This window comes from Homo sapiens, chromosome 3 (assembly GCF_000001405.40).
Source record: "Homo sapiens chromosome 3, GRCh38.p14 Primary Assembly".
In the NCBI taxonomy this organism is placed as follows: domain Eukaryota; kingdom Metazoa; phylum Chordata; class Mammalia; order Primates; family Hominidae; genus Homo; species Homo sapiens.
The window spans coordinates 162995641-163008318 of NC_000003.12; the positions used below are offsets into that span (position 1 = coordinate 162995641).

Sequence of the window (12678 nt, forward strand, 5' to 3'; positions counted from 1 at the left end):
ATATATATGTGTGTGGCTCCAGTGTGGGGTGCCTACACACACACACACACACATATACACACACAATACATATATTACAATAAATATACACAATATGTAATAATAAATATTCTAATTCAGCACAGCTGAATTCTAACACAGCTTATATTTTTGGCACACTTTCTTTACAAATTAGAATTTTAATTAGTAACCTTAATTTTTAGTAAAAACTGAGGAAGAAAGCAATTTTTAACATTTGTCAAACATCAGTATTTTTTAGATAAGAATGATTTTATAATTTTAGAAATATGTTTCTTCATAACATAATTTGTAAATGTACTAATAGTCTCAAATACATTTAGTATTTCTATAAAATGTTAAAAGCCAAGGAAGACATTTATTTTCAACAATTTGTTTTAGTTTTTAATACTTATACATCTTATATGGAAATGATTCAGACATTAATGAAAATTTATCACTTAATTTACCTTAAAAATACATATAATTTCAAATTACATTAAAAGTTTACTTATAAATCTCCAAGTTATTTACATTTACCTAATTTATTTATTTTTTACAGTTAACAATTATACCCAGATTACCTATGAAAATTGAGACATTAGACAAATCTAGTCATCCTTTCAAGTCATTTCCCTGCTAATCACTTTTATAGCCAGTGATGATCAGTTGTTCATCTCTGTAAGAACTCTAAATTTAAATACATAGTTACTTTGCTGATCACTCAGTTTGTACACATATTTTTATTAAACAAATAATATTAAATTAATACTACATATGAAAGTGTTAAATAAAGATAATTCTATTTTGGGTTTCTAGTTTTATAACTTTAAAATAAATATCAGAGATAAATACTATCTTATCTGAGCAGTAAATTCAGGCAAACATGTATGCTGAAAAATTTGATGACATTTCTGTTTTTATTTTATCAGTAATTTACAAATCAGCATATTTATCAGAGATTCACTTAAGTCACATAAATTAAAATGCATTGGGGTTAATTAATATATATTTTTATATGAGCATTTATTTACCTAAGCAAATCTGAATCAAATTTCTTACTTATTTCTGACTGACTATACCAGATTTTACCCTGTGGACACAATATACAACATAATACATGCAAATATGTGTAAGCATGGCTAAATTCATATGTACAAAAAAATCTTATAGCTTTCATTTTAGGTTTTTAGTCATGAGATAGTAGCACAAACATAATGGTTTATAAAAAATAGGTGAATCCAAATTACAATTCTGACTAAACGAGACATCTGTTCATATGGTTAATTTTTTTTCTTTTTTGCCCTGATTGGTAATCTGATGAAGGCTGTAGATTAAAGTTTTGGGTAAAGCAGTTTGGCTTAAAAATCTCCTTCTCATTTTTTCCTCCTTTTTTAGTTTCAAATGAGTTTAAATTTTCATTTTTGACATTTTAGCTAGGACTGGCAGAATTGTATAAGAAAAAACAAAATCTCCAAGTACCCTTGAACTAGCAATAAAATCAATTTTTTGTTTGCCAAAAAGTTGTTTGACTAGTCAATGCAGTCAGGAAAGCATTTTAGCTTTTTTGTTTTATTTTGTTTTTCTGTGACTTGCATGACAGAAAAACCAAAAGTTGTATGCTGAACACAGATATTTTAATTGTTGCTCTGGGCTTAAGATTTTTACCGGTTTTATCTGAGAAAACTTTTATAAGCATTTCTTTAGTCATTTTTATTTTAGACTATTAACATTTCAGTGAACTGTTCTGTCACCCCCACATGATTATTAGCCAGGAAAACCTAAATGTACCTTTCCAAAAGGTATTTAAGTTGTTACAATTTGGAAAGCCATTGATTTGAAAATGCCTCAAAAACTTTCTTTTTTATTTTTTTATATTGGCTGGAATGCCATGAGCAGTAAGTTTTATCTCAACATCTGGAGAAGAGTCAGCAAATTCAAAGTAAGCAGATAAATCAACAACAACAACAAAAAAGAGAAAACTTAGGTTCTACATATTAATTTATAGTTGTAGTCTCTTAATTGGATAGCAAGAATCAAAAAGTTTGGGGAGTTGTAATCCCCAAGATGGTCATTGACCCAAAATGTGCACAAGAAAAATCTATGTAGCTAACTTGAGTCCCAGAGATCTCGGCAGATCTTAATGTTTGAAATTCTCATTACATTTTATGTAATTGCTTGAAAGCAAAGAAAATTATATAAACTCTGTCACTGAATGTCAGAAGTTTGAACCAGTGTTTAGATGATGGCAACTGTCCTAGTGGCTTTTAAGGAGCCATCCCGGGTCCACCATTTAGAATACTTATTTTTGCTCTTAGATTTCCCGAAAGTAGCTAGGGAAAAGAGCTGAATATTTTGCAGATGCATGCAATCAAATCAAAATGAAACCAAAATCAGAGTGCTCACAAAAATTGTAACCCGGACATAAAGATCAAACAAAATATTAAATTAGGCATGCAAAAAGAAACAAAAGTAAATTCACCAGAAAAGACATGCCTCATAGAATGCAAATTCTGTAGAAACTAGAGCACTCAAACCAAAAGGACACTTGTGTTTACATAAGAAAGAACTTTCCAGGGAAGATAAAATAATCTTTTATTATCTTAGGAGGAATGTAAGGTCCTTTATTAAAGGTAGCCTTATAATCAAAACAAATCCTGAACAAAGTTTAAAAAACCTTCTAACAAAAAGAAGTCTTTCCCTGAGAAAAGATTCACCAGGGCAGAAAGGGCAATCTGTGGAAGTGGAGAGCTGTAAGGGCTCATGTGGGTACTGCACCACAGCCCCAGTAATTGCTGATTTCTTCTGAATGTGATCTTGCTTCATGGCCTGCTTCTGGACACTATGTGTGTCAATCTAAATAACAAAAAGAAAGAAGCTCTCTAAAATAAGATGAAATATCATTTCATCTTATATTTATTTGGGGATAGGGCATTTCAATAGGAATATGTGTGTCATAGTAAACTACGTGCATAATCAGGAAGGTAAAGGAAGACAAAGATTTTTAACAAAACGATCAGGAGGATAACAATTGTTTTAGATAAAGAGCTTCAGTGATAGGGATCACTAATAAGTGTGGTGCCAATCTGAGGTTGGACTGGCAGTTGTTGGGCAGATGTCTTTACAGGAGTATTTTTTGGTGTAAGGCTGTGATGGCTTTTGTGCAAGGTGCAGTTTTTGAAATCTTTTATGATAGCTTTTGTTATCAGGTATTTGTGCATGAGAACTCTCTTTTTATTACCTTTACATATCAATAAAAATTTTCATAGTACTCACACATGTTACCATTTTTAAAGTTTGAAAAAGTCACATGAAAAGTATCAAAACATTTCTCAGGATTTTTCATTAGATATTTGTGGTATTATTATTATATCTCTAATTTTTAAATTTACTTTCTTCTCCCATTTTGTTCCAGTATAATTAATAAGAATATTAAACTAAAATACATATATTTTATGTTTTATTTGTAAAATGTATTTTTTTTACAAAATTAGCTCCTAATTCTTAATGAAATATAAATGCATGTGTATTTCCTTTTACTTCAGTAGGTTTTCCTTTTGTGATCTTTAACTAAACTGTGAGAAGATGGATATAAAAAAGCACAGATACATAGAGAAAAATATAATTAATTTTTTGCTTCATGGTCTTGTGATGTAACATGTAAAAAAGAAATGAGGTTAAGCTTAATCCTGAAAATTTTATTTTCTCTTTTCTTCAAAAATGTATTGTTTTAATGTTCTTCTTTCTTGTCATTTTCAAGATGTAGTCTATTTGGTCATGCTGATTGTATTGAATTTAATGTGCATCATAGTAAAAATGTCAGAAACTGTTAGCAGAATCTTCCAACATTCAGCCATTTTCAGTTTTTACTGTTTAAGAAAAACAGAATCTGAATTAGTTGTACAAATTTAAAAGTCAAGAGATTTCATATAAATATCTGGATTTGTTTTCTAAAACATTTTGAACACACCTTGACATAATTCCTAATTTTGCTTAACCCGAATTATGTATGTTTCTCCCATTAAGCTGTGCTGACTGTCTCTAGTTCATTATAGCCCTTACCATGCACCAGTAACTACTTTGATTAACTTAATATTTCCCTTTGCTCATTTATATTAGTTCCCTACCTGTACTAATATGACATTATATGTAAGAGACTATATACTTAATTGTATTAATCTGCTTAGTCTTCCATAACAAAATACCACAGACCAGGTGGCACAAACAACAGAAATTTGTTTTCTCAATTCTGGAAGCTAGAAGTTCATGATCAAGATGCCAGAAAATTTGCTTTCTGGCAAGGATTCTGTTCTTGGCTTATAGATGGCGCTTTTGTTTTTGTGTCTTCATGTAGCCTTTCTTTTGTGCATGTGGACAGAGTGATCCCTGGCATCACTTCTTTTTTTTTTATAAGGATACTACTTCTATGAAATCATATTCAAAATCTTTATTATTTCATTTAGCTTAATTATCTCTAACAGATCTGATATGTTTAGGCTTTGTGTCCTCACCCAAATCTATCTCATCTTGAACCCTAATACCGAGGTGTTGAGGGAGAGACCTGGTGGGAGGTGAACATAGAGGTGGTTCCCCTCATACTGTTCTGGTGACAGTGAGTGAGTTCTCACAAGGTCTGATGGTTTTATAAGGCAGTTTTCCCTACTCTTGCACACTTTCTCTTTCCTTCCACTATGTGAATAAGGTCTTTGCTTCCCCTTCACATTCTGCCATGATTGTAAGTTTCCTGAGGCCTCCCAAGCTATGTGGAACTGTAAGTCAGTTAAACCTCCTTCCCTTATAAATTACCCAGTCTCAAGTATTTTTTTATAGCCGTGTGAAAACGGACTAATACTGTATCCTATTTACAAATGCAGTCATAGTGGGGGTTGAAGCTTCAACATATCAACATATAAATTGTGGGGGTGGGGGAGAACAATTTAGTACATAACATTTATATTTTGTTGTATAATTAGAACTGATCCTTATTGACAGACTGCTTAGTATAGTCCCTCAGTAATCCCTTGGTTGAGTATATTCAATGTTTACTGGCATTTTACACCACATTTTCTAGACATCTCTTGTTTCAAGAAATATTTATTGCACTGCTCAATGTTCAAATACTGTTCTGTAAGTTGAAAAATCTCATGAATAAAATGGGAAAAAAAGCCTGCTCAGAAATTTCTTGCATTCTAGTGAGGAGGTGAGACACAATAAATAAAATAAAAACAGTATAACATGGTAAAGATAATAAGTACTGTGGTAATGAATATATTATCAAAAATAAATAAAAGAAAGGGGGTAGAGAATAATAAAGGAAGAGTCACAGAATGCAATTTAAAATAGAGCTACCTGGAAAATTATCTTTGGAAAGGTGGCCTTAAACAGAATTAAAGGAGGTGAAAGACTAAGTTATGTGGATATTTGGAGGAAGAATATTTCAGATAGAGGGAAATGCAAAGACAAAGGCTGTAATGCAGAAGCATTTCTGACATGCTTAAAGAAGAGCTGAGTCAAGTGCAGTTGGAGCTAAACAAGTGGTTAAGAGGTAGTAGGAAAGATATTAAGAGAGGCATCAGAAGGGCCTTGGAGGCCATACGGGATTTATGTTTACTCCCTATTAGATTACTTTACTAGGACCTGGGAAAAGGAGTCAATGACTCTTGCATGGTCAAGACTGATTTTGTCTAAATCATTTTATTAAACTCAAGTGTGCCTAGGTATAAAATGATTTGGTCACACTTTTCTTCAGTATATTTGCAAATTTTATTTTATTGTATTCCATTGTGGAATTTTGCTACAGAAAATTTCGATGCTAGTCTCCATTTTTTCACCTTTTGAATAAAAGTTTATTTTGCCAGATTTTCCAAAAAAATTTTTTTATTTGTAAAGTATATTATTTTTTTTAGATTTTAAAACACGATGTGCCATTTTAATGGTACATTAAGACTTCTATTTAAATTTGAATTTTTTATTTTATTTTTATTTTGTTATTTTAACAGTTTCCTTTTGGGGCATATGTTGGAGCTTCTTTAGACATTTAAAATATAGATAGCTGTTTTCTAATTATTTTTAACTCTTCATCCAGACATCATTTTGTTTAATTTACTCATTCATATTTTTATACGGCCTCCACTTGGAAAATTATTCTGCTTCTTTTAGCATAAAATTTTACTTTCATTTGTATTATGACTCTTTCATTTGTATTATGACTATATCATTTACCTGTTTTTGGAGCTCTTTTCATTTATACTAGATTTCTTCCTTTTTGCCATGAGATTTGTTACATAAGCTGTTGTAATTTTGCTTTGTATTCTTGCCTCATAGAGGCAACTGCTTTACTGTGTGTATGTGTATGGGGGGATGAAGTGGTATGTGTCAGGGTGATTGTCTTTATGTTTATGGAGAATTATTTAGCTACAATATTTTCAAATTCTTTGTAATTATTTTTCTAGTGATTGTCTTTGCTTTTAAAATTTGCATGCATTTTTGAGCTTTTTGTAGTTTTTATGATTATTATAGGTCTTATAAATGCTTCCATTTTTCAGAATAGTTATTTATAAATATAAATAGTTTATATGTAAGTTTCTATTGCAGGAGTTGATAGCTGTGCAAGATATTTTGAGTCATGTAGAACAATTCATAAAGATAAAAAGGTTTGAGTATGTATTCAATGTTACCTTCAAAACATCTCAGCCAAGCATATAGAGAGATTTGGGTCACCATGCAAATACCTCAACCAACAACTAAGACCCAGAAACTTTCACTTTCTGAAAATATGGCTTGACTGTGATATTACTTATTAAGCCTCTAATACTTTAGTCTTTAAAGCAAAAGTATGTATTTTCCTCTTTTGGAAACAAGGGATTTTGCCTTGTACCTGAAGGGGCAGCAGTTAAGTTTGAAATGTACCTTAGATTTTGATACCTGTTGCCATAGGTTCTTCTCTATTCTTCTCAAATTTATCTCTTCTCTATTTTATTGCTTTGAAAATTCTTTGTATCATTCTATAGTTTTGAGGGTTTTTGGGGATTGGTTTTTATATTTATCTCTGTTTTTGCCAAATGTAACTTTATGTATTTTTTTTTTGCCCCCTGTTGCTTTTAGGTGATTTTTTTAAGAAGAGTAGGTGACTGTGGGATGCAACATTTGATCTAAGTTATATTTTTTCAATATTTACTGTTTGCTCTTAATTTTTGTTTTTGTTTTTGTTTTTTACAAACGGTTTTTCATTTACTAGCAATTTAATCTGGACAGGCTCATTGAAACTAGATTTTCTCCATGTTGTCATGTACAAAAAAGAATCTGTTGCCTTTCTATAAAAAATAAAAGTTTGATAGGACTTAAACATTTTAAATCTTTGTTTTTTACCTCAAGGCCATGACAGACATTGTTACAGTATGTCCATACAGTGCACATCCCTGTAGAGACATTTCTCCTAGATTACTGCTGTATCCTATTCAAGAGGATAACTTACAATAGATTATGATTCCCATTTTAATCACAATACAATTGATATTTTAGGAAGATTTATGTGTACAGTCACATGTGCAATATGTTTATAAACCAGAGCTTTAGAGTATCTATTGCAAATAACAGAATTACAAAAATCGAATCCAGGAGTTATCATGTTTTATACTATGCTGTTAATACTGATGGTTCTAAGCAACTTTTGCTTGATTTTCAGAAATTTTGTAAGCTTGTCATTCAATAAAACATTATTCAAAATTAAATTCCAAAATTTTAAATAGAATATATTAGTACTAATTATATTAGTAGCTCAAAATTCATCACTTCTGAGTATTTCATTACATTTATTATTACTATTCTCTTAGGTTTATTGACGTCTGTTTCTGTATGGTGAGAATACTACAACTATGATGCATCTCTTCCAAATTGTGATAACACATTGTAACATGAAATCAGTCACAACTGGAATATTTGCACCTTGAAATAGGTGAAACTAAAAATCAGGTCTTGGTTTATTTTGTTGTTTCTTTTGTACACACATAAGTGACAGAGAATTTGTTAATATCGTAGATTAAATATCTGGTTCAGGAAAGAAGTCACACACATCAATAACAAATAAGTGAAGGTTTGACATAGAGCTAAAGCTGAAAGTTTTGAGTTTAATGAATATAATATGTATGATGGTGATAAATAGCTTTAGAGTTCATCACATATCAGTTATAATGGGAATAGCTTTATTGGGATATTGAAACTAGATGATTGACAGGGGAATATGAATATGATAATTTGATTCTCTGAACTTTAAAGAATTTCATTCGGAAGAAAAAAACATTCTTCTAACTGCCTCAGTAAATCATACTAATAAGCTGAGTGGTATTTAGTTTCTTTCTCTTTTCATTAATCCACCAATTATGTCTCTCTAAGATATTTCAAGAAGTACAGTTGTCCGTATTTCACGTGATGGCTGCTCTCATTGTTAAAAAAAAAAAACACAAATTTTTATAAGAACTCAGTGAATACATTTTGCAAGAAGACCAAGCTTTTTAGTCAAGGGCTCTTATTTTCTCATTTTGGATTAGGAGATGGAGATAAGAGGTAGATTTACTCAGTCTAGTATTCTGTTAGCAAATAGCTTCAAGGACTTAAACGCAAAAAGCTGTATAGCCCTTAAGATAAAAAATTAAGAAGCAATTCAAGATTAATCTCGATTTGTGTGATGCTTAAAGCATTTCATTTATATCACAAATAACAAATTGATGAAATAAAAAAGATAAAATGTCTTAATTTTTAAACTATAAATGTTATCTTAAATGGAATCCACATAGTCAAATATTAGTACAGGAACAAATATGAAAACAAATGGAAGAACATTCCATGCTCATGGGTAGGAAGAATCAATATCCTGAAAATGGCCATACTGCCAAGGTAATTTATAGATTCAATGCCATCCTACCAATGACTTTCTTCACAGAATTGGAAAAAACTACTTTAAAGTTCATATGGAACCAAAAAAGAGCCTGCATCACCAAGTCAATCCTAAGCCAAAAGAACAAAGCTGGAGGCATCACGCTACCTGACTTCATACTACACTACAAGCCCACAGTAACCAAAACAGCATGGTACTGGTACCAAAACAGAGATATAGATCAATGGAACAGAACAGAGCCCTCAGAAATAATGCCGCGTATCTACAACTATCTGAACTTTGACAAACCTGAGAAAAACAAGCAATGGGGAAAGGATTCCCTATTTAATAAATGGTGCTGGGAAAACTGGCTAGCCATATGTAGAAAGCTGAAACTGGATCCCTTCCTCACACCTTATACAAAAATTAATTCAAGATGGATTAAAGGCTTAAACATTAGACCTAAAACCATAAAAACCCTAGAAGAAAACCTAGGCATTACCATTCAGGACATAAGCATGGGCAAGGACTTCATGTCTAAAACACCAAAAGCAATGGCAACAAAAGCCAAAATTGACAAATGGGATCTAATTAAACTAAAGAGCTTCTGCACAGCAAAAGAAACTACCATCAGAGTGAACAGGCAACCTACAAAATGGGAGAAAATTTTCACAACCTACTCATCTGACAAAGGGCTAATATCCAGAATCTACAATGAACTCAAACAAATTTACAAGAAAAAAACAAACAACCCCATCAAAAAGTGGGCGAAGGACATGAACAGACACTTCTCAAAAGAAGACATTTATGCAGCCAAAAAACACATGAAAAAATGCTCATCATCACTGGCCATCAGAGAAATGCAAATTAAAACCACAATGAGATACCATCTCACACCAGTTAGAATGGCAATCATTAAAAAGTCAGGAAACAACAGGTGCTGGAGAGGATGTGGAGAAATAGGAACACTTTTACACTGTTGGTTGGATGGTAAACTAGTTCAATCATTGTGGAAGTCAGTGTGGCGATTCCTCAGGGATCTAGAACTAGAAACACCATTTGACCCAGCCATCCCATTACTGGGTATATACCCAAAGAACTATAAATCATGCTGCTATAAAGACACATGCACACGTATGTTTACTGCAGCACTATTCACAATAGCAAAGACTTGGAACCAACCCAAATGTCCAACAATGATAGACTGGATTAAGAAAATGTGGCACATATTCACCATGGAATACTATGCAGCCATAAAAAATGATGAGTTCATGTCCTTTGTAGGGACATGGATGAAATTGGAATTCATCATTCTCAGTAAACTATCGCAAGAACAAAAAACCAAACACCGCTTATTCTCACTCATAGGTGAGAATTGAACAATGTGAACACATGGACACAGGAAGGGGAACATCACACTCTGGGGACTGTTGTGGGGTGGGGGAAGGGGGGAGGGATAGCACTGGGAGATATACCTAATGCTAAATGATGAGTTAATGGGTGCAGCACACCAGCATGACACATATATACATATGTAACTGACCTGCACATTGTGCACATGTACCCTAAAACTTAAAGTATAATAATAATAAAATTAAAAAATTAAAAAAATATATGTTTGGCTGATATCAGTTCAGATTATTCGATACTCCCACATTCTCCCAAATCTGGAAGGTCAATGTTTATAGATGCATTTTAAAATACATCTATTATAGGAGTATAAAAACTTCTCCCAAAATAAATACTGACTTAAACTGACAACCAACAATTTCTTTTATTGTTTGTCTGTTGCTTGCTCTATGATGCTAGACAGTGCAAAGGCCATTATATGTATTTTGTTCTTTCATATTTACAATGAGAGTAACATTTGGTTACATTTCATATATATTTTTAATAGTTTCTAAAAGTTATTTTTATAATAATATATTAGGTCTTGTGTTCAAATACGTGTGTGTATGTGTACAACATTAACAATGCACATTAATATTGATGATAAAGGAACTTCTTACTTTGTGCATGCAAAAAAGATTAAGCCCTTATTTTATAATATTGCTTAAGACAATGTTGATGATACTGAGTAAAGTTTTCATGAGGTGAACATTGCTAAAATTTACAAAGGGTCTGGTGGTAGGAGTTATATATTTTAATCCAAAGCACCTTCTAACTAAAAACTGAAGTAATTGTACAACATCATTAAAATATACTTCCACAGATTCTGAGAATCAAATAAAAATTATTTCTTTAATTTCATATCTTCAGTATTTGTAACATTACCCTACTCCATAATTAACATATCAATAAATTTCAAAGAAAACATACACATAGAGTACTAAAATCTGAATTTTCCTACTTCCTGTCCATCTGTACCCCCTATCATTTATCACCATCTAGACACCCACCATTTAACTAGGGTAAAATAAAAATATACATTTTCTTATTCATTATGGTAAATTTACTATATAAGTTATGCTTTAATGAGCACTCAGTACTTAAACAGAAGACAGCTTAAGATCCAAGACTGAGATATTAAAATCCAAACATTGCAGCCAGAAAGAATAATTAATAAGATTATCATTAACGGAGACACTCTATATCTGTTCCTTATTTAAGCTATTTTCAGCTCAGATTTCGATAAGAAAGTTACTCTTCTTACTAGAGCTTTTGAAATAAAGCACTCATCATTGGTGAAATGATGTTCAGCAGAGAACCTTCAACTATCAAACTTAGAACAAGAACACTAACCAGGTCTCAAAAATCACAATCAGAAAAAGGCACCATTTACAGAGCAATACCTAATATACAAGAGAAGGCAATTTTAAAAGGCATATGAGAAACAAAGCAAAACAACCTTTCCCCAAATATTGATAGTGATACTTTTATTTGAAAACTGAAATAAAGCAAGCAATTGCAGGAATATTAGATAAATTTCGTTGCAATTTTCATAACATGGAAAAATGAGATTGTGGGAGAGACAAGCATGGGTTAAATACCTCACTAAATATAGAGTGCAAGAGCATTATAACGTGGGCCGTGCAAACAGTAGAACATTTCAAACCTAAGGCCTACTATTGTTGTGGCTAAGTGTTTTCACCACTTCCTTAGTAAAAAGTTACCATATAGATAAAATAAAATACATTTATAAAACTTTTACAGTCTGTTTTAATCAAATTTACCTCTACATAATCCCCATTCTATAAGTTCAGTTATCAACAAACTCCTTCATAAAGAATCCCTTCCTGGATTCTTAGAGTGTATAGGTAGTGATTCTAGATTCAAGAATGAAAAAAAAATCAATTAAAAAGAGCCTTTTACAGGACATTTTATTTATAAGGCCTATTTTTTTTGTTGGGGTTTTAGACTAATGCAATTACAGTAAATTAAAGTTTTCACATTTTATATGTAGATATTACAAGTCACATATTCCACAAACTCATTTTGAAATAGCAGAGTGCTGTGCGCAGTGGCTCATGCCTGTAATCCCAGCACTTTGGGAGGCCGAGGCGGGCAGATCATTTGAGCCCAGGAGTTTGAGACCAGCCTGGGCAATATGGTGAACTTCACTTCTACCAAAAATACAAAAAGAAAAAACTGATTAGCCAGTTATGGTGGTGCGTGTCCATAGTCCTAGCTACTAGGGAGGCTGAGGAAGTAGAATCGCTTGAATCCAGGAGGCAGAGGTTGCAGTGAGCCAAGGTGATACCACTGCACTCCAGCCTGGGTAACAGAGGGGGACCCTGTCTCAATAAGAAAAAAAGAAAACATGTAAAACATCCAAACAATGTAAACTGTTAAAATAGAAGCTGTTAAGA

At 32.0% G+C, this 12678-nt stretch overlaps 1 annotated feature.

Annotated features, from left to right (window-relative positions):
* Positions 12101-12270: an enhancer, noted in NCBI's record as "experimental_66196 CRE fragment used in MPRA reporter constructs". NCBI's record gives its function as "activates a minimal promoter by MPRAs in K562 erythroleukemia cells, with activity observed for both the introgressed and non-introgressed 3:162725614 variant alleles {active_cell/tissue: K562}" and the evidence as "EXISTENCE:reporter gene assay evidence [ECO:0000049][PMID:34662402]".